The sequence below is a fragment of the Homo sapiens genome, chromosome 4, assembly GCF_000001405.40.
Source record: "Homo sapiens chromosome 4, GRCh38.p14 Primary Assembly".
NCBI lineage: Eukaryota > Metazoa > Chordata > Mammalia > Primates > Hominidae > Homo > Homo sapiens.
Window position 1 is genome coordinate 24902331 of NC_000004.12, and position 21622 is coordinate 24923952.

At 46.4% G+C, this 21622-nt stretch overlaps 1 protein-coding gene across 8 annotated transcripts in view, besides 2 other annotated features; it reads right to left on the reverse strand.

The window, feature by feature from the left end:
* CCDC149 (coiled-coil domain containing 149) overlaps positions 1-21622 on the reverse strand; it is a 176691-nt gene that overhangs the window by 98817 nt on the left and 56252 nt on the right. For 4 of the 8 annotated variants that reach the window (XM_011513907.4, XM_017008827.3, XM_011513906.4 and 1 more), the window contains exons 1-2: positions 10487-10712; positions 8442-8496 (exon numbers count right to left, since the gene is read on the reverse strand). The exons of 2 other annotated variants lie outside the window; for them this stretch is intronic. Coding sequence is in view for 2 of the 6 variants with exons in the window: in NM_001130726.5 (NP_001124198.2) it covers positions 10487-10534 (48 nt within the window). In the remaining 4 variants the exon portion in view is untranslated. Of the gene's footprint in view, positions 1-8441; positions 8497-10486; positions 10713-21622 lie in introns of those variants that run through there. 2 more of the 8 variants (NM_001130726.5, NM_001395273.1) reach the window with 1 other exon arrangement.
* Positions 14509-15078: an enhancer, noted in NCBI's record as "H3K4me1 hESC enhancer chr4:24918461-24919030 (GRCh37/hg19 assembly coordinates)". NCBI's record gives its function as "activates a minimal SCP1, AML or CMV promoter by ChIP-STARR-seq in naive H9 embryonic stem cells {active_cell/tissue: H9 hESC(naive)}" and the evidence as "EXISTENCE:reporter gene assay evidence [ECO:0000049][PMID:30033119]".
* Positions 15079-15647: an enhancer, noted in NCBI's record as "H3K4me1 hESC enhancer chr4:24919031-24919599 (GRCh37/hg19 assembly coordinates)". NCBI's record gives its function as "activates a minimal SCP1, AML or CMV promoter by ChIP-STARR-seq in naive H9 embryonic stem cells {active_cell/tissue: H9 hESC(naive)}" and the evidence as "EXISTENCE:reporter gene assay evidence [ECO:0000049][PMID:30033119]".

The window sequence follows — 21622 nt, forward strand, 5'->3', positions numbered from 1 at the left end:
CAAGTATTTTCATCAATTTGTACTCCAGTTAAAAAAAGCATTCAGTGCCTCCCCATTACCAGCTACATCAGGACACATCCTGCTGCCTGGCTTTTGAAGTCATTCACCATCTGGTCCTCCCTGGTTATCCAATCTCATTGCCTGCTGTACTTCAACCCAGTGATTTCTGCCTTTATCTGGAGCATCTCCGCAAAGGCCACCAACTTGGCCCAGTGCTCATGCCTTCTCATGATCTCCCTTGCTGTCTTCAACCAAAGGGAAGGGGCTCAGTTAAAGTTCAACTTCTAAGAAGCTTTTCCCCACTCCATCAAGCCTCACCAACTGCCTACATTAGTGTCTAAGATCTATTGTTCGCTATTGTGCATGGTGTTTTCATCTAATAACAACAGCTAATAAGAATGAATATTTTAAGCCAGGAGTGGTGGCTCACACCTTGAATCCCAGCAGTTTGGGAGGCTGAGACTGATGGATAGCTTTGAGCTCAAGAATATGAGACTGGCCTGGACAAGAAGGCAAAGCTCTGTCTCTCCAAAAAATAGAAAAATTAGCCAGGAAATGGTGGCTCATGCCTGTAGTCTCAGCTATTCAGGAGGCTGAGGCTGGAGAATCACTTGAGCCCAGGAAGCAGAGGTTGCAGTGAGCCGAGACTGTGCCATTACACTCCAGCCTGGGCAACAGAGTGAGAGTCTAACTCAAAAAAAAAAAAAAAAAAAAAAAGAGTATTTTAAAATATTAACTGACAGCCTATCTTCCCACCTTGCTTCCATTTCCTGCAACCCTTACCCTAATTCTCCCCCATATATCTCTCCCCCTTTTTAAGAAGCCAGACATTCTGCCTTTACGTCTAAGAAAGGCATAGCCCAGCAGAACACAGGTAACAACTGACTGGCTTTTCCATTTTCAGGGCCTGCTCCTGAAGATATAAGGGCACAGTTGAGTCTCTCCAGTGGCGCCCTCGACCATAACTCCTCAAAAGACTAGAAAGGATCTTCCAAGTTGAGAAAAGGGCAGAATCAGAGTGCAAATGAGAGCTTGGTAGTCAGTCTCCAAGAAGGAACACTGAGCTTGGCCCAATCAGCCTGGGGTTGAGAGGGCAGAGCAAGGACTTGGCGCTGAAATTTGGGGGACACAGCTAGTTTTGATGGAAACCTGATGGGCTCGGGAATTAGAGAGGCAAGGAGTAAAGCTCTCTGTAGCAATAGCTAACTGTTTTGAATAACCATTCACCTCCTTTTGAAAAATACTGAGTTTACTGAGGTATAATTTGGAGAAAATTTCATCCCTTTTAGGTGTAAGTGTTCCATGAATCTCAACAAGCTTACACAGTCATGTAACCATCATCACAATCGAGACATAGAATACATCCATAAATCCAAAAGATTCCCTCATGTTTCTCTGCAGCCAATTTCCTCACTGTACCTTCAGGCTCTGGTAATCATTGATCAGTTTTCTGTCTTTTTAATTTTTAGCTTTTTTTTTTTTTTTTTGAAACAGAGTTTCGCTCTTGTTGCCCAGGCTGGGCTGCAGTGGCACGGTCTGGGCTCACTGCAACCTCTGCCTCCTGGGTTCAAGCGATTCTCCTGCCTCAGTCTCCTGGGTAACTGGGATTACAGGCGTGTGCCTCTATGCCCAGCTGATTTTGTATTTTTAGTAGAGACTGGGTTTCACCATGTTGGCCAGGCTGGTCTCGAACTCCTGACCTCAGGTGATCCGCCCGCCTCAGCCTCCCAAAGTGCTGCGATTACAGGCGTGAGCCACCGTGCCTAGCCTTAATTTTTACTTTTCAAAAATTTCATGTATACCTTGATTGTGGTGATGGTTACACCAGTGTATGCACACATCCAAACTCTCAAATTGTATACCTAAAATATGTGCACATTTTAATATATTAATTCTACCTTAATAAAGGTGTTCTTAAAAAGATAGAAGACAGCATTAATTCATGAGTACAAAATAGTCACTCATCACAGATGTTAAAACTATCAGCTTTTACCCTATACCATGTACCCTGTAACCCACTTCCCCTAAATGAGTTATCTGGTTGTGGCTGCTCTGGGCACACTGCCTATGGGGTAGCCCTGCTCCACAAGGAGCAGTACGTTTGCTGCTAAAATAATTTTTTAAAAAAGAAAGTTATTCGGTTGTATACTGCTTGAGTTACATACATAGATGTGTAGACAGGTGTGGACATGTGTCCTCATTTCTCTTCAATCCTACCTAGGAGAAGGATTGCTGGGTTGTTTAGTTAAGTGTGTGTTTGACTTTATAAGAAACTGCAAACCTTTTCAGAAGTGACTTTACTACTTTACAGTTCCTCCAGCAATGTATGAGACTTCTAGTTGCTCTGCGTCCCTGTCAGCCCTTAGCTGATGAGTTTTGTAACTTGTTGCTTTTCCATTCTAATAGGTATGTTGTGGTATCTCACTGTGATTTCCATTTACAGTTCCCTAATGACTAAGGATGCTGAGCCTCTACTCATTGCTTATTTGCCATCCCTCTTCTTCAGTGCAGGGTTTATTTAATCCTTTTGTCCATTTAAAAATTCAGATTGTTTCTTTGTTTTTGTTCTTTCATTTGTTTGTTTGTTTTGAGATGGAGTCGCACTCTGTCGCCCAGGCTGGAGTGCACTGGTGCCATCTCAGCTCACTGCAACCTCCGCCTCCCAGGTTCAAGCGATTCTCCTGCCTCGGCCTCCTGAGTAGCTGGGATTACAGGTGCACACCACCATGCCTGCCTAATTTTTGTATTTTTAGTAGAGACAGGGTTTCACCATGTTGGTCAGGCTGGTCTTGAACTCCTGACCTCATGATCCACCGCCGTGGCCTCCCAAAGTGCTGGGATTACAGGAGTGAGCCACCGCACCCGGCCTTTCTTCTTACTGAGTAGTGAGAGTTCCTTTTATATTCTGGATACTAGATGTGTGTTGTGCACATATTTTCTCCCAGTCTGTGACTCTTTATTGTTTTAACAGAGTCCGCCAAAGAGAATAACTTTTTAACTTTGATATGTCAACCTACTCATTTTTTTCTTGATAACTTATCTTTTTCATGTCCTATATAGTCTTCTTTCTTTTTGCGTGCGTGCGTGTGTGTGTGTGTGTGTGTGTGTGTGTGTGTGTGTGTGTGATGGAGTTTTGCTTTTGTTGCCCAGGCTGGAGTTCAGTGGCGTGATCTCTGCCCACTACAACCTCCACCTACTGGGTTCAAGTGATTCTCCTGCCTCAGCCTCCTGGGTAGCTGGGACTACAAGCGCGTGCCACCACGCCCAGCTAATTTTTGTATTTTTAGTAGAGACTGGGTTTTGCCATGTTGGCCAAGCTGGTCTCAAACTCCTGACCTCAGGTGATCCACCTGCCTTGGCCTCCCAAAATGCTGGCATTACAGGCGTGAGCCATGGTGCCCAGCCTACTCTTATTTCTTAATGGGACCCTCCCAAATTAAACATGGGCACATTCTGCTACAGACTACATTCACAGCCTCTCTTACAACTAGGAGTGGCCGTATGACTATGCTCAGACCAATGGGAGGTGAGCAGATGTGATATGTACAATTCTCCACTCATCCCTAATTAAAGAAAAGCCCCTTGCCCTGGACTTGCCCCTTCTCTCTTTCCCCATTCCCATGGGCTGGGACACAAATGTGGCAGCAAGAAGCTTCAGCCACACAGATGAGGACCATACCCTAATCGTGGAGCAACAAGATAAAAGAAATCTGAATTCTTAGATGACTCAAGGAGCAGGGCTGCCCTCCATGCCTGAACCACCACACTCACAAGAAAGAGACACAAATGTCTTACCTTATTTAAACCACTCTATTTTGGAGGCAGGCATCTTTCTTACAGTGGCTTAGACTTTACCCTAACAAATACACCTTTATTTCTTAGGAAGTGAAAACTAATCCCCAATTCCCTGGACCCAGCCTTGGTGTTGTGACATGCTGTGTGTGCAACAGTTTCCCAAAGTTTCCCATAGCCCCAGGGTGATTTGAGGGCAGCATAATAATTAGCCCTAGAGTAACTCAGGGGCAGCGGAACAAATTTTATTTTATTTTATTTTATTTTATTTTATTTTATTTTATTTTACTTTATTTGAGACAGAGTTTCACTCTTGTCACCCAGGCAGGAGTGCAGTGGCACGATCTTGGCTCACTGCAACCACTGCTTCCTGGGTTCAAGCAATTCTGTCTCGGCCTCCCGAGTAGCTGGGATTACAGGCACATCCACTACGCCCAGCTGATTTTTGCATTTTTAGTAGAGACGAGGTTTTGCCATGTTGGCCGGGCTGGTCTTGAACTCCTGATCTCGGGTGATACGCCTGCCTCAGCCTCCCAAAGTCCTGGGATTATAGACATGGGCCACCGTGCCCGGCCAAATTTTAAAAATGAATAAAACTTGCCCCACCTTGGGCAAGACAGCAAAGTTCACCATGCCCAGAACAGTGAAAAGCAGTTCATCAATTTGTTCTTCATTCATCCAAAAGTAGCATGGATGTGGTGCAGACAGCCAGAGGGCCAGAGGACACCTGAGGGGGGATGAGGGAGGACACAACAGTGACCTAGAGTGACCAAGGGCAAGATACTAGACTAAATTAGGAGAGTGTGGGTAGACAAAAACAGCCCACCCCAGCACCCCAGCCAATGACTTAGCCTTAGTCTTAGTATTTCGTTAAGTCCCTTAGAATTTAAATACAAATTCAGGGAAAGGGAGTGGTGTGGCTTCATATGCAGATTACATTTCCACTACTCAAACAACAAAAACTTGTAATCAAAATTAAGGCATTATAGCAAATTATAGTTTTCACACACCAGAGTTTCTGTCGTGAGGTTCATGCTCACTGTTCCACTGCTGCCTTGCCCGGCAGAGGCCTATGCACTCATAAGCATTATTATTTCATTTGATCCTCACAATTAGGATCACCTATGAGGTAGGTACTTTTACTACCCTATTTAAAGACGAGAAAAATGAGGGTCAGAGAAGTTACATGGTGCAGTCATTCCCTCAACATCCATTCTCCCTCTTCGAAAAGAAGCCCCCCAATTTTACTTGGGGATCTACCCTAGCTCCACTCACAGTCCACGTGTCATGCAGCAGGGCTCTGAACACAACTCCAGGCCTAAAACAATCAGATCACTACCTGCCTGAGCGATTTCTTGCAGTTTAGGTGAGTGATCTAAGTGGATTTAAATGGAGCATCCCAGGGTTTCACAGGATCTGCTAGAGAAGGGTCTGTCTTCCCCTCTGGACTTGAACTTGAAAGGATGGGAGGCTTAGACTAAAGCCAGGCAGCAAGCAGACTCAAAGATGGAGAGAAACTGTCTGAGTGGTGAATCAGCCAAAAGCCAGCCCTAGCATGGAATTACTAGTCATGTTGGTTATAGTCACTTCCAAGGGCTGCCATAACAAATTATCACAAACTGGGGGACTTAAAACAACAGAATTCAACTGTTGCACAGTCCTGGAGGTTTGAAGTCCAAAATTAAGGTGTTGGCAGGACTGTGTTCCCCAGTGAGGCTCTCAGGGAGGATTCTTCCTTGCCTCGTCCTAGTTTCCGGTGGTCACCAGCAATCTTTGGCTTTCCTTGGCTTGTAGCTGCATGACTCCAGTTTCTGCCTCTGTTGTCACATGCCTTCTTCCGTCTGTGTCTTCACATTGTCTTCTCTTTGTGCATCTCTGTGCCCAAATTTGCCTCTTCTGATAAGGACACCAGGTCATTGGATTAGAGCCCACCCAAGATGACCTCATCATAACTTGATTATATCTGCAAAGACCCTACTTCCAAATAAGGTCACATTCACAGGTGTTTGTGTGGTGGCAGTTGAGGGGAGGGTGTTAGGACTTGAACACATCGTTTTGGGGACACAGTACAACCTACAACATCAGCCAGTAAATTGCCTCTAAGCTGATCCACTTTGGTTTGGGTTTTTGATCTTTTGTACCAAGAGAAAGGCAGGGCCAAGACTTCCCCCCAGGTCTCTTATTATCTTCAGAGTCTAAGTCAACAACTGAAACCCAAAGCTGGGTCTTTACCTTAACCACAGAGCTGGACTCTATACCTACTCAACCTCTCCTTTCCAAATATCAGTGGCTAGGCCAGGCACGGTGGCTCATGCCTATAATCCCATCACTTTGGGAGGCTGAGGCAGGATTCCTTGAAGCCAGGAGCTCAAGATCAGCCTGGGCAACATAGCAAGACTCTATCTCTACAAAAAAAAAAAAAAAAAAATTGGCTGGGCATGGTGGCACGTGCCTGTAACTCCAGCTACTCAGGAGGCTGAAGCAGGAGAATCCCTTGGGCCCAGGAGATGGAGGCTGAAGTGAGCCATGATCGCACCACTGTACTCCAGCATGGGCAACAGAGTGAGACCTCATCTCTAAAACAACAACGACAAAAACCAAAAATCAGTCTCTACTTTGGGCGGAGGCCCATGGTTAACTGTCTTCTGCCTCCTGGCCCCTGCATACAACATGCTCAAGGAATAGGAGATTGATTGCTATCTAATTAACCAAAATTCAAATAGTGAAATGGAATTATGTATAGTTTATCATAGAGTGGTGGGCTGAGCGATGACCAGGATTTTTATCTTGGAAATAAAAAGTTATTGATTGCCTGCATACCTGTACTTTGAGATGTCTCCAATCTTGAAAGCTCACCTCAGGTGGCGATAAGAATATCTGCCCCTCCCCAGACATTTAATTTCCAAAACAGAACCCTGGTCATGCTTCTTTCACACGCATGGGTGTGTTTACTTCCAGGCCTGAAAGAAGGCTGTAATTTCAGCTTATTATACCAAATATATGAAAATAAAACTGACCTCTGTAGGATTGTTTTAAATGAAAACTGCTTCCTAGAGGCAAGTGGAGGAAGCAACTGATTGAAAGAGAGGACGGGGCTCTGGGCAGGTGATGGAGAGGGGATCCAGGGTGGGAGACAGCACCCAGGACTTCTGCAGAAATAAATGCAAGCCCACGAAAATCCCATGTAGTCCAGATTAGCTGTGCAGTGATGTCTTCCACAGGTCCTTCTGCCAGGTCCCCAAACCATTTCGTAACACCACAGCTGCTGAGCACACTCTTCCCTGAATCTTACCTGTCTGGTACCAGACCCAGTCACACCCATGGAACCCCTGCCAGCCAAACTTGACTGGGCAGGGGAATTACCTGGGCAGCTCAGCTTGTAAGAAAGGCAGATCAGGGGGCTGCAACCCCAGGCACTTTTCAGCAGTAGGTGTATTAGTTTCTTGTGGCTGCTTGATATGGTTTGGCTCTGTGTCCCCACTCAAATCTCACCTTGAATTGCATTCCCATAACTCCCACATGTTGTGGGAGGGACCTGGTGGGAGATAATTGAATCATGGGGCTAGTTTCCTCCATAATGTTCTCGTGATAGTGAATAAGTCTCACGAGATCTGATGGTTTTATAAAGAGGAGTTCTCCTGCAGAAGCTCTCTCTCTTTGCCTGCTGCCATCCATGTAAGATGTTACTTGCTCCTCCTTGCCTGCTGCCATCCATGTAAGATGTTACTTGCTCCTCCTTGCCTTCCAGCATGATTGTGAGGCCTCCCCAGTCATGTGGAACAGCAGGCCCATGAAATCTCTCTTTCTTTTGTAAATCACCCAGTCTCAGGTATGTCTTTATAAGCAGCATGAAAACGGACTAATACATTGCTGTAACAAATGATCATAAACGGGGTGGCTTAAAACAACAGGAGTGTATTCACTCACAGTTATAGAGGCCGGAAGTCCAAAAGCAAGGTGTCAACAGTTGTTTTTTTCTGGGGACTTTGAGGGAGAATCTGCCTCTTCCAGCTTCTGGGAGCTGCCAGCGACCTCTGGCATGCCTTGCCATGTGGCTGCATCACTCCAATCTCTACCTTTGTCTTCACATGGTCTTCCTTTCATGCATCTCCGTCTTCCCATAGCCTGCTCCCTTGTGTGTCTGTGGCTTAAATCTCTGTCCTTTCTCTTCTAAGGTATCAGTCATTAGATTTAGGACCTACCCTAAATCCAGGGTGATCTCATCTAAAGATCCTTAACTTGATCATATCTGCAAAGGCCCTATTTCCAAATAAAGTCACATTTGCAGCTACTGGGGTTAGGTCTCGGATGCAGCTATGGTGGGGAGGTGGGGGGAGCAGGATACATAATTCAACTCACTACAGTAAATTTGGGAGAGACCCATAAACTTGAATTTTTCACAGGCACCCAAAATGACTCTGATGCAGGTGATCTGTAGGCCATACTCTAAGAAACACCAAGCCATTTGCTGCGGACTCAAAGTTGAATCAGACATGGTCTCCTTCCTTGGGAAGCCTGCCATCTAGCAGAAGATACAGACAGATGAGCAATGATTAAAATAGCAAGTGTGGCCTAGCAAGGCTCAGACAAGCAAGGCTCAAGCAATGAGTCAGACAGACCAGGATTCAAATCCTGCCTCTTCCACTTACCAGATGTGAGGCTCTGTGCAAGTTCCTTAGCCTGTCTGAGCCACTGTTTCCTTATCTGTAAAATAAGAAAGAATTCCTACCTTATGTCATTGTGAATATGAGGCCATGTAAAATGCTTAATATGAAGGATGCACTCAAAAAATAGTCATTAGTTATTATTAAGGTGGGAAGTAAGTTAGACCCATTTTCACCTCCCCCATGGCCCCTGGCTACGTGCCCACCTCATGTTTGTGAAGTTAAGGAGGTATTACTCTGGAGAAACTCTGCTGGGATGGGCAGGAAAACTCCTGAAGGACCTACTTCAGGATTCACTGACTTATTCAACAAGCATTTTTCGAGCACCTGCTGCATACAGAGCTCTGTGTATAGGCCCTGGAATAAAGAACCAAACAAAGCACACGGCCTAGTGAGGAAGCCTATTGTTACAATAATGTGGTCAGGGCAAGGTGAAGGTTAAGCCCAGCCAACTGAGGGGCACCCCATGCCATTTAGCACTTGAAGCCTTTCCATCCTTTAGTTCACTCTCACTGTCTACGGTATGACCTTCCTCCCAGACTATATCATGAAACCCCCAGGAGTTCTTTGAGGGTAGGGGAGTTCTTTGTCTTATTCACCACTGAATCCCAAGCACCTCACAATGTACTGACTCCTAACAGGCACCTGATATGCAATTGTTGGAGTAGTGAAGATTCTGCTGCTATTTAAGGGCCTAACACTGGACTTCTAAGGAGAACTACCTCCAGCCTCCTTGACTACTAAGTATGATTCTTGATGGGACCAGAAACAAGGTCCCCAGAGGATCTGCCCCTTAACATAAAGCCTGACAGTTTGAGAAGATGGAGCCAGGCTGCAATACAATGGATCATAACACCAGACAGTTAGGAGAGCTTTCAACTACTAGACCAATGCTGAGCAAACTAAACTAGGGCAGGAGCTACCGCATGTCATTCCTCTTCAGAAACACAACGCTCTGCACACACTGGGCATGAAGCACTATTATCAGACTGACCTGGAGACCCAGAAAACGATGAAAGGAGTGAGGGAGTAGAGGGTTTCCCTTCCCATAACCCACAAGGAAAGGAAAAGAGCAAACCGATACACTCTGCATTGTGTGCACAGGATTAAAGAAAAGGAAGCCCCAAGTTGGCCTTGGCTGGAGCTTGGTTCTCAGAAGGGAGAAATTCCCCGGCATGGGTAAGTAACACCAGGAATTGCCCCCACAAATGGTGGCAAACCAGGGCAACTTACCTGGTTGCCTCCAGGTGAGAGGGAGAAATCCGCATTCCCTCTCACCTGGAGAGGCCGGCAGCTTCTCCCGGCAGGCCGGCAAACTCTTAGGGGGAACTGAAGAGCAAACAGCATAGGATCCTGAAAGTGGACCCCCAGGGTATGTTTATGACAAAAGAGTCGCAGGGCAGGGGGACACGGTGTTCTGTGCTTCCACAAATCGAATCACTTCTGCACCTGTGTTTCACTTTTTCGATAAATGCCCCTCCCCACCTTACACATGGTAGGCCTGCAGTAAACACGTGTTGATTGAATTGAGCAAGTGAATGAGTGAACGGCTGCAGCGGACCCCCGAACTCCCCCAACTCGAACCACCGCCGCAGGTAATTCCACCTGGCCCAGGTTCCACCCCAGGGCTCGGATTCTCCCCCATGGCACCACCTTCCCGTTTCAGTCCCAGGCGTCCAATTGTTTGGCTCCACAACAGTGGCGAGCGGGCAGGCAGGTGGGGCTTGGCACCTTCTGCTCCCGGATCCCAGGGCTTCAGCCTCCAATCCAGGGCCAACCCCTGCCTTGGGGGGAAGGCCCCTCCCCAAAGGCTGACACCAGATGGCGCGGAAGAAAGTGGCGCCCGCGCAGACCCGAAAGTGCAGGAGGAGCGGCGCACCTGGCGGGGTCGCGCGGGTGCGGCAGCCGCGGCCACTTGGAGTGCGCGCCCCCCTCTCGTCCCTCCCAGCTCGGCCTCTCTGGGGGCGCGGGCCCGGGGCTGGCGGCCGCTCGGCCCGGCCCATCCCGCCTGGCCGGCGCCGCGGCCTCACCTCGCTCACCAGCCCCTGCCAGTCGCTCTCAGTCCGGTCGCCGTTCATGGCCTCCTCCTCCATGCGCTGGCCGGCCTCCTGGACCCCCGCCGCCTCCTCCTCCTCGCGACGTCGCGTCGCCGCCGCCGCCCGGGCCCCGCGCGGCCCCGAGAGGGCCCGGCGCCTCCGAGCCGCTGCGCCGCCGCCTCTCGCGGCCGCCAGCGCTGTTGACTCCACGTCAGCCTCCGCCGGAGGGAAAGGGAGGAGGGGCGCGGCCGCCGGGGCCGCAGACACAGCCCGGGCCGCAGCCGAGCCCCGCCGGGCCCGCCCCGCGCCCTCAGCCCCGCGACCTCGGGCTCCGCGCCTCCTGCCCGGCCTCTAGGCAAGGGGAAGCCAGGGTCTCAGCCTACAGGTCACTCCGGACCCCTCAGCGCTCTCCGCGCGGGAGGCGGGCCCCACGGGCAGGCCTGTGTCCCCCGCAAGAAGCAAATCCCCAAATCCAGTCCTTCTCCGACCACCATCACGACTCCCACGCCTAGAATGCAAGCTCCCCGAGGGCAGGGGTTTCCTTGGTTCGCAGATGTGCCTTTGGCAAGATCCTGGCCCATAGGAGATGCTCTACATATATTTATTGGACGAATATTTGTTGAACGCAAGAATGAATGAACCACGTTTTATTATATACTTAGCATTGTTTTTTAAACTATTAGTGCTTGCTTATATATTTTTTAACGTATCATTTGTCATTAATAGAAAGCAAATGTAAAAATTGAAAATAAAGCATTATTCAATTCTAAATAGGGCCAAAAACTCTGAGGGAGATGGTTAGCATGGGTTGAGAGAGGTGTCAAAGACAAATTGGCACTGGTGGCATTCCATGGCTCATGCCTGTAATCCCAGCACCTTGGGAGGCTGAGGCAGGAGGATCCCTTGAGGACAGGAGTTCAAGAGCAGCCTCGGCCACAAAGTGACACACCCCCTCTTTACAAAAAATAAAATAATTAGCAAAAGGGGAAGGCATTGGCATTAAGCTGAGACTTCTCCTAAGAGGAAAGACTGAAAGAGAATGACAGAGGGAAGGTGAATCACACACATAAGTCAATCGTATTCAAGGTGCTGTTCCTGTGACACCTAAAATCCCCTCTTGGACCACTATCAATAGTGAGCCCTCTGTACTCGCAGAAACGCTGTGTGTGGAGATGAGCAAGTAGGTTGAGAAGTTGTGAACCCATTGTACAGTTGTGGAAGCATCATTACCAACATTTATTTATAATTTTTAGCCCCTGTTGATCCTGGATCAACCCTGTGAAATGGATGTTATCCTCATTTATTAGATGGGGAAACTGAGGCCTGAAACGTGGAGAAACAGGGACTCAACTAGGACTTCTGGCTCTAGCATCTTGGAAATCTAAGAATGAAGTATCACCTTGAAAGTTTGTTCTTGGCCTTGTTTTGCACATGATAGACTGTTTGCAAAATGGCAGCAATCATTCCCCTTCTTTGTCCCTTGCCCTGCCACTGTCTCTTTCACTCTGTGCTCAGTCATGTAACTTGCTTTGACCAAAGCAACGTTTGTACATGTGTTACCAGAAAAAAAAAAAAAAAAAAAGAAAAAAAAAGGCTTTTAAAGCAATTGTGCATTAGGATTTAACTCTTGCTTCTGCTCTTGGAAACCATGTAAATAAGCTCCGAATAGCTTGCTGGTTAAGGTAGGATTCCCAACCAACAGTCAACCATCACCAGATGTGTGAGTGAGGCCATTGCCTGCCGCCCCCTCCACGCCCCCCCACCCCCACCCGCACAGCTGATGACAAGCACATGAGTGAGCCCAGCTGAGACCAGCCGAAGAACCATCCAGCTGAGCCTTGCTCAACTAGCTGACTCACAGCATCACATACTAAATAAGTAGTTGTAGTTTAAGCCACTAAGTTTTAGGGCGATTTGCTAGGTATCAACAGGTAACTGAAATGGATGGTGACACAACTGATGAAGGGCCTGAATGGCTTGAACTCTCCCTGGCAGCCCTTCAAAAAGCAATAGTCCCTGGCATCATAATCTAAAGAAAATTTTACAACGGACTGGCTGGCCAGGAGCTAAGAAAAGGAACCAGTATACTAGTCAGCACATTGGTTTTCTGCCTGTTGTATACAACTGCAGCACTCATCCTGGGGAAGTTCAATAACATTGCACACCATGGTCCCTGTCCTAGGGGGCTTGCAAACTAAGGTGCTAGAGAACAGCAGAAAAAAAGGTGGGGCTAGAATGCAGCTAAAGCTTCTGGTCTTCTGACCATTCTGGGCTGCCTAACTCATTATCTTTTTAATCTAAGGAGCTAGAAAGAAGGTCATCCTTGAGCTGAATGTCTAGAGTTAATTAACTCAGTGCCAAGCACTTGTTCCTAAGCCTGACGTCTCATGCCTAAAAAGCAAGGTACTGTCTGCCAATATATTGCCCTCTGGCAAACCATCTGTTTTCATCCTGACCTGTGGATAAATAGACTGTAGGAAAAGTGGGCAGAACTTGGTCCATCTGCCTTTCAAGCCTCCTTGTCTGCACCTTGCTCTCTGCCTGCATTCAGGTGGGAAAGCCCATTCCAGTTTCCACAGTTAGCTGAGCCCTTCATGATATACCACTGCTCCTTTGGCGCCCTCACTGGTATTTCAGGCAGCAGGACAGACAATCAATGAGCGTTGGGAGCCAAGAAATCTTCGCATTCCAGACTATGTGCCTTTAAGACCACTCTCCCTGTGACTCCATTTCCCCTATTTGCTTTCCTTCTCCGAAATAAGTCAGACAGTTATTACGGTATTTAAAAATAAAGCTGGGGAGCAAAATCAAAGTGTGGCAAGCCTCTACCCTCCCCAGCATGTGGGGAGACTTTCAACTCGGTTGAAACAGCATCTCTAGCTGCCTGGGTTTTCCTTAGAGGTTTCATGCCCCAAGTGCCAGCTCAAACCTGCTTCGCTTGTGAGATGTGATGAAATCACAAACCAAGGCAATGTAGCTGCAAGCAATTCTTTTTTATCTCTTTTCATTTATGTAGCCTGACATTGAGTAATAATAATAATTAAATGCAGTTTAAGCTTTTAGGCACCTATACCAGAAGGCCTCTAGACACCTCATCAACAGCAGCCCAGACTGACAAAAAAGAGAGCTAATTATATTGTGGTTAACTTTTTTCAAAGAAGAAATAAACCCATACACCAACTATCTTTATCCCTGATAAAAGCAGTACATTAAATGTCCCATCCGACAGTCCATTTGCACAGGATCATTTTAAAACCTGGTGCCCTTGTCTTAAATGTGCCACCCTGTTACAAAGTATTGAGACGTTTGCTTTAGCCTCTATTTTCACATCCCCTTGGCTTTCTGAAAACTGATCTCTAGGGACCTAATTTTTCCATATATATTCATAGCCCCGGGACCAGTTTTATTGATTTATTTATGTGCACCTATAGTGTTAGAAGAAAGTACTTAGTTGCTTTTGAGTGATGCTTTTCACTTTTAAAAGTTTGAGAGGGTTTTAGACATGGAAACTCCAAAATAGCTTAATCTAAAAACTTGAGCCAGCACAGACTGATGAAAACAAACAAACAAAAAATCTCTGGAGAGATTGGGAAAGAAAGGATGATTTGAACTTATTGTTAGCAACCTAAGCTCTCATTATGGGTTCTATACTTACTTGCATGAAGACTCTGGCCAGGTCTCGGCAGCCCCAGACACGCGGGAAAGCCCTAAAGCTTTTGATGTGACTTCTCCAGACAGTATTTCAGTTCAAATTCTGGCTGCCCAAGCAAAATTCGGGCTGTTGGAGTTCTCATTAAAGGAAACTAAGCAAATCTCCAGTAGAGATTTTGGCCGGGCTTCTCTCTGAACTATATAGTTGGGGCAATATTCATGGCCATTTTTTTTCCCCAGTGACTTTTCTCCTGCCTCAATTAAGAAACTCAATCTGGGCAGAAAATGATTCATAATGACTGTGGTTTATAATGGTGTGTGTGTGTGTGTGTGTGTGTGTGTGTGTGTGTGTACATATATTTATTAATTAGCTCTATATGAGCCAGGAGGGCCATTTTGACAGGTCCTGCCAGGAGCCCCTATAGCCTGGCTGCTAAACTACTTCATTTGCTCTTGGTTTTAACCAGGATCAGGAGACTGCAGGTCCTGGTGAGTGCCACAGCCAGGCCTCCTGCAGAGGCCTGAGACCTGAGGTCCCCTGAACCACTGGCCTCAATTCTGTAGAAGATAAGCTTCTCTCTCCTCCCCCTACCTAGAGGTTCTCTGGGAAGGACCTCATCCATCATTTCCCTACAGAGGGCCAGCAGCCAGATACCAGAGGGGCAGATGGGGGATTCTGGCCGGGTTCCTGACTCAGGGAATCCTCTGTGTCTCTTAGACCCCTGAGCTCCCAGGTCCTCTCACGGCCACCCCTGCCAAGCCCTCCCTGCCCAGCGGCAAACAGTCAGCACGAGCTGCTCCCCTCCAGCCCCGCTGGCTGCCAATCAGCCAGGCAGCAGGGGGTGGAAGGAAGTTGCACTCCCTGCTGAACTGCCGCGCTCACAGTGGCTGAGTGGGGCTGATGACGGCCTGGCAGGCCGGGGACCCGCAGTTGTCATCCTAAGGGGGCACAGGCTTGAGCGTGATTGGCTTGGGCGTTGTGGGAGACAAGAGGTGGGGAGGAGCAGAGGTGGAAAGGCCACTCCTTGGCTGTTGGAGGGGTTCCCAGAAGGGGGACTAAGATGTCAGGAGAAAGGAGGATGACCAGAAAGGAGCTGAGAGACAGAGGGAGAGACAGGGCCTGGGGTGCCGGAGGAGAGGCCTAAAGATAAAGAACCATGGGAGGAGAGCGGAAAACCGTGGGCGTCGGTGGGGTGGGGAGAAACCCAACCACAGGCTGGTGGGGAAAGTGGATCGAGATGCAGCCCACGGAAGGAGTTAAATGGAAAAGAGACAGGAAAAGTCATCTGCTCTCAGATTATTCAAATTTGTTGTACTTATTGATAATGTATTTCATTTCTTCTGCGTGGGGGGGATATGATTCAGCACAAATTTGATGTAAATTTATGGAAATGGAAACGCAGAGAGGCAGCAGGGCCCGTGCTGCTGACGGGTTAGCAGCATGGCCCTTGGCGAGGTGGAGGTTACTGCACCCTGGACTTGGGGAGCTGAAAATAGAAACGTCTGACTTGGGGGTCACTGGCCTCTCCTGCAGGCCAGAAGAGGGACTGACCCTGTCGTTCTGGAAGCCTTATGAAAAAAAAAATCTGATGAATGTCTAAAATAGGATCACCTACATTGCCCTCCTATCTAATTTTTGTCTTAGGGTGGGGGACAATCTTTAGCCAGTGGATATGGGTGGAAAAGGAGAAAAAAGAAGAGAATAAACATGATCAAGGACCTACTGTGTACACAGAAATTGCTAGTGAAATGACAGAAATGATTTTTCTTCTGTACTGTAGAAGAATAATGGGGCTTGGGGATGGGGAAAAAAAACAAAGAAAACAATTTGATCGAGAAGGTGAAAAGGTGGCATTTCATATAAATGGCCAGTGCTGGTAAAATATTTATTGTCCATTAGGCTGTCCTTCAGAACATCGGATGTTGATTTTTATCCATCTCCACCCCCATACCAGGTCATGGCATTTATCTAATGACGTGCCCCTCTCCCAGTTGGTAGCAACCTCTCTAGCCTGGCTGTGACCAAGACAGCACATCAAACCATTCACAGTAGGAGAATTGCCTCCCTGGGCCAGGCCTTGCTCTGCATCTTACAATTGCATCGAAACAGGAGATTCACGACTCTAAGGTGCAAAGCCAGACTAAAGAGTTTTACTGTTCCTCCATTCCTGTTAGAGACAGATTTTTCCAGCACTGGTTCCTGCCTTTGGCCAAAGCTGCAATTCCTTTCTTTGTCCAAAACTTTCTGGGTTCCTGAGTTGCTGGGGCTCCCTTGGTCTGAGGGTAGAAAAGAGGAGTTGATCTGCAGCTCACAGCCATGGTGTGTCAGTGTATTGGGGCAACTGTTTCAAAGTGGGAGTGATCTGATCGCTTTTATTATATCAGTAGGGCAGAAATTGCCAGCCCTTGGTGACATTCATTACATTGCTTTGTCCTCATTCAGTCAAATTTCTCTTTGTTCTCTAACAGAAACTCAAATGGCAAGTAAACATGATTTCTAGATAGACACTGTCAACAAGGGTGTTTGCCAACATATCATGTCCCCTGCTATTGCACCAAGCAGCTTACCTTTGGGAAAGAGGTACATGGATGCCCCTTCTATATCCACATATGACACAATGGTTGCCACTTACTAGCCCCATTTGTTTCCACGATACAGGAAAAACAATCTTAAGGTGCCGTAAGAGAGGCTTAGCAGGGTCTCCTTTAACATACTGGGCCATTAACTCAATAAGCCTTTCTTGAGCTTCTCTTATATGCTGAACTAGGCTGTGAGGATGACAACCAGGACACAGACCTCTGTCCTCAAGGCTTTTGGAGTAGATAGCCATGTTCCCAAGAAGCTTAATACTGCAGAAACACAGAGAGACACCACAGAATTGGACTCTAGCTGTGATGTGAGACACAAAAAGCCTTTTCAGCAACTGGAAATGAACCGTAAAACTAGGTCCATTGGGTACACATAAAAATGGTTAAAATGGTAAATTTCATGTTATGTATATTTTACTGTTAAACAACAATAACAACCTTGGCGGGCAGGGGGTGGGAACTGAAAGGAAAACCAGGTCTATTTGGAAAGCTCTGGGAGGGGCAGGATTGAAGACTACCAAGATGTGGAAAGCATGAATGGGTGATTATACTCACCAAATCTCAATATAGGAAAACAAGGAGCAATGACCCTCTCCAAGGTGAAGGAAGTAGTAATTGGACAAAACATTTAAAAAGGGAGCAGTGGGTTGGAACAGCAAGCATAACACCTTAACCTTTCTGTGAATTAGTGTTGTCACCTCCACCATGGGCGGATTGGGCCAGATGATCTTGAAGGCCTGTGACTCTATGAAATTAATTTTACATTTGGGTGAGGACTTTGTATAAAATGTTAGTGAAGGTGCTGTTATTATTATCCAAGAAAGATTGCAGTAACTTAGCACATAGAAATATTAAGAATCAGAGATCTGGACCCCTTGCTATACAAGAGAAGATATAGAGGCCCAGAGAGATAAAGCAATGTGCCCAAGGTCACAAAGTATATTAAGAAAAAGGCTGTGGCTACAGCCTGGAACTTTCGATTCCCATGTCCTGGCTCCCTCACAGTGCTTAGGAGTTGAAGGTATTTGAAGTTCATGAAGAGCAGAATTCTGGTTGTCTATTGCTATACAACAAGCTACCCAAAACCTGTGGCTTAAACATTGGTTTATTACCATCTCTTCTGGTTTTGTGACTGGGCTCTGCTGGGTGGTTTTCATGTGGAGTTTCCTGGGTGAATGTAAATGATGGCCACAGCTGTGGTTATCTGAAGGCTCAACTACACTGGACATCCAAGACAGCCCACTCACATGGCTGGCCATTGGCTGGGAGCTTAGCTGAGGCTGTCAAGTGAAGCCCCGCCTCATGTCTTTTCATGCTGGGCTCCCTACAACATGGCAGCTTACCAAGGGAGCTTCTCACAACATGACAGCTTGGTTCCCAGTAGGAGCTTCCCAAGAGCTAATGTTCCAAGGGAGAGGAAACAGAAGTTACCAGTCCTCTTAAAGTCTAGCCCTGGAACTGGCATAGAGTCACTTCCACCATATCCTATTGGTCAAAGCATTGAAAACCAGGTCAGCCCAGATGCAGAGGGGTGGATGAATAGACTCCACCTCTAGATGGTCATAGAATGGAGCCATGTCTGTATAGGAAGGGAAGGATTTGATGACCTCCATCTTTGGAGACAAGCTGCCATAGCAGCAATTCTGATTTTTACCACGAATTATTCTTCTATGTCCTGTTTGGAAAAAATATATATTACACAAGTATTAACCAAGCCTGACATTGTTTATCTTAATGGAAACTAAATCAATTAAATTTAGGCCTCAATACCTGTATTTTTTTTTAGAACCTACCAGTTCAGGGGTCACTTAAGCCAAACCATGGCATAGGAGAGTTCCTAAAGAAATTGTCACTGAGGAATGTATGAGAACATCTAGCATGGAAAAGAAGGTGGGACTGGCAGCAACAGGTACTGAGACCCTGAAAGTGCCTCAGTTTCCCTTCATCAGGAAAAGCAGGGGAGTAGAAAAGAGTGTTTCAACTTTGCTAAAAATAAACTCCTTGAGAGCAGGGATTGCGCCTACAGTGCCTGGCACATAGTAGGTGCTTAATAAATGTTTGTTGAGCTCAATTTAGGTACTAGTCTTCTCATCAATACTATAAATAGCATTTAATGAGGACTTGCCATACACCAGGCACTTTTCTAAGCAGGTGACATGTCCCTGCATCTAATCTTTACAACACTGTATAATTATCTGTGATGATCCCAGGCCTGATACTCAGAAGGTAAAAACCTGGAAGGCCCTATTGGTCACTGAAATATCAAAATACTTCCATACAGATTGGTAAATTATCACTATTCTGTGTCCCTTGAATGAACCCTATATGTACTTCTCTCCCCCATTCAACACCCCCATCCAGGAGAGACCCAGTGGGCATGGCCCAGGAGCCTCCCTCATGACTGAGAGCTCTCTATGGCTCTCCTACAATGGCTTGCATTCCTGGATCAAGTTGACAAGACCTTAAAGAGGTAGGCAAAGCCCTGGTGCAGGTGGTGCTGGTACCTCAGCATGTAAATGTTTGGTGCCCACCTAGCCATCCAAGAAAGACTGGACAGGGTCTTTCAGAACTAATGTACCTGCCATCACCCGCCAGCGCCCACATGTGGGAATGGCAGCCTCTGGCCTGCATTTCATGGGCTGTTGAATATCTGGAATCCTAATTACCCACGTATGTGAAGGAAAAGAAAGCTGAGGAGTTTAAAGAGTTTTTTTAAAGATTTGATGAAATTCACATAGCTAGTAAGGGGTGGGTCCAGGGCTACACTGCCTCCAAAATCCGCACCCCCTATTCCCCGCTCTTGTGCTGCGTTACAGTGTCAGTTTCCTAGGGCTGACAAAGGACCACAGATGGGGGTGTTTAAATAGCAGAACTTTATTGTCTCAAAGTTCTGGAGACTAGAAATCTGCATTCAAGGCATCGGCAGGGTTGGTCCCTTCCAAGGGCTTTGAGAGAAGGATCTGTTCCAGATGCTTTCGGTCTGTGTCTCTTCACATCATCTTTCCTTTATGCATATCTGTCTCTGTGTCTAAATTTCCCCTTTTTATAAGGACACCTGTCATATTGCATAAGAGACCCACCCAACTCCAGTATTTCATCTTAACTAATTACATCTGCAATGACCCTATTTCAGCATATGAATTTGGGAGGAGGGCACAATCCAGCCCTTACAGCAACTTTCTTTTCGATGAGACATCCCCCACCCCGTTATAACAAAGTTAATTAGGCATTTACATAAGTCATCTAGAGAATGTTCACTTTGTGTAGGTCCACTAGGTCCCAGTGAATGCATCACCATTCCAAGACTTCCCCTCACCCCACCAACTTCAGTCAAAGCAGTTTGAATTGGCACTCACTCAGTAATATTTGCCCTTCCTCCATGCAATCCACATCTTTCTATTGTGCCAGATCATTTTGATACCTAGTTGAAGGCTGCAAGATGGGGCATTTTGGACTCATTTTTATTCTTTTTCATGCTTCTCCAACGTCCTGAAGCTCACTGATGTTCATACAATCAGTGGCTGGTATGTGAGTCAGCTCCTGTCCCTTCAGCAGTTTAGTGAACTCTGCAGCTGGCGAGATCCTGGAACTACTATTCTCAAATGATGAATCCCTTCTTAGTTCAAGGAGATACTACAAAGGCTTTCCCCAGTGAGTGCTATAGGAAGGTATTGCCTTTGGAACTTTTCTCTCGCTGGGGGCTTCTGCTATATTCCAAGTGTGTGAGATGGTTGTCTGGTTTTCTTGCGTACCCCTTTGAAACACACAGTAACCTTGGTCTCAGATGCCGTGTCCTCGAACTTGGAAAATCATTGGACCAAAAATGTCTACAATTTATTTTTCCCCTTAGATTTTCTTTTTTTTTTATTGATTTTCCATTTTTAGCACAAGATTGATCACCAGCAAAATACCAATTTACATACAGATTCTGCTAAACTCAGCATCCTATATACTTGGGACTTTTTCATCCATAAACCAATTTTTTAAAGAGAGAGAGTCTATTATCAGAAGCGCCCCTGATGACACTCAAGATGGTCTATAGGGAACAAGCTCAGGAGGGTCACAGTCTGGTGGGGTGAGCTCAGCTGATTTGTGAGCATAATAACTATGGGGACAAGGTCACAGGCTGATACTCACAGGGACAGGTTAATATTTTGCTTACTTCTGTGGCCACAAGCCTAAACTGCAAACCTTGGTCAGCTATCTTACAAGTTCATTAAATAACATTCAACAAATACTTTCTGAGTTCCTACTATGTTGAGTTCCTGCTATGCCAGGCACTGTTTAAGTACTAGGACTAGTCGGAAAGACAAGAAGGACATAAACTTTATCCACATGATGTCTATAGTATAGTGGGGAAGCAGATATCAAATGATTATGCAAAAATTATTTAATCACCAAGATGATAAATGCTGTGAAAGAAAAAAAAGGTTTTCTTTGAGAGATCTAATAGGGAATCTAAGTGAAGGGTCATTGAAAGCAAGGCCTGAAGGATGTATAAAAGTTAGGTAGCCAAGATAGGCTGAGAAGGAGTAGCACAGGGGCAGAGAGAACAGGTGAAAACAAAAGAACTTGAATGAAGATTAGTGTGACCAGAAAATAGAGAGGAGGGAAGAGAGTGACAAGAGATCAGACTGGAGGGAGGAGCAGAGCCTTAGTCATGTGTTAAGGAAGTTAGAATTTATCACACAAGTGCTGGGAACCTTTGAAGTGTGTATTAGGATTAAAGCTAAGCTTCAGTAACAAAGACACCCAAATATACAGTGGCTTGACTAAGAAAGAATTTGATTTCTCCTTCACAAGACAGGTTGCCAGGGCAGCCCTGCTACCCAAGGCCACTCTGAGCCCTAGATTCCTTACAAACTGTGATTCTCTCTTCACCTCGGATAC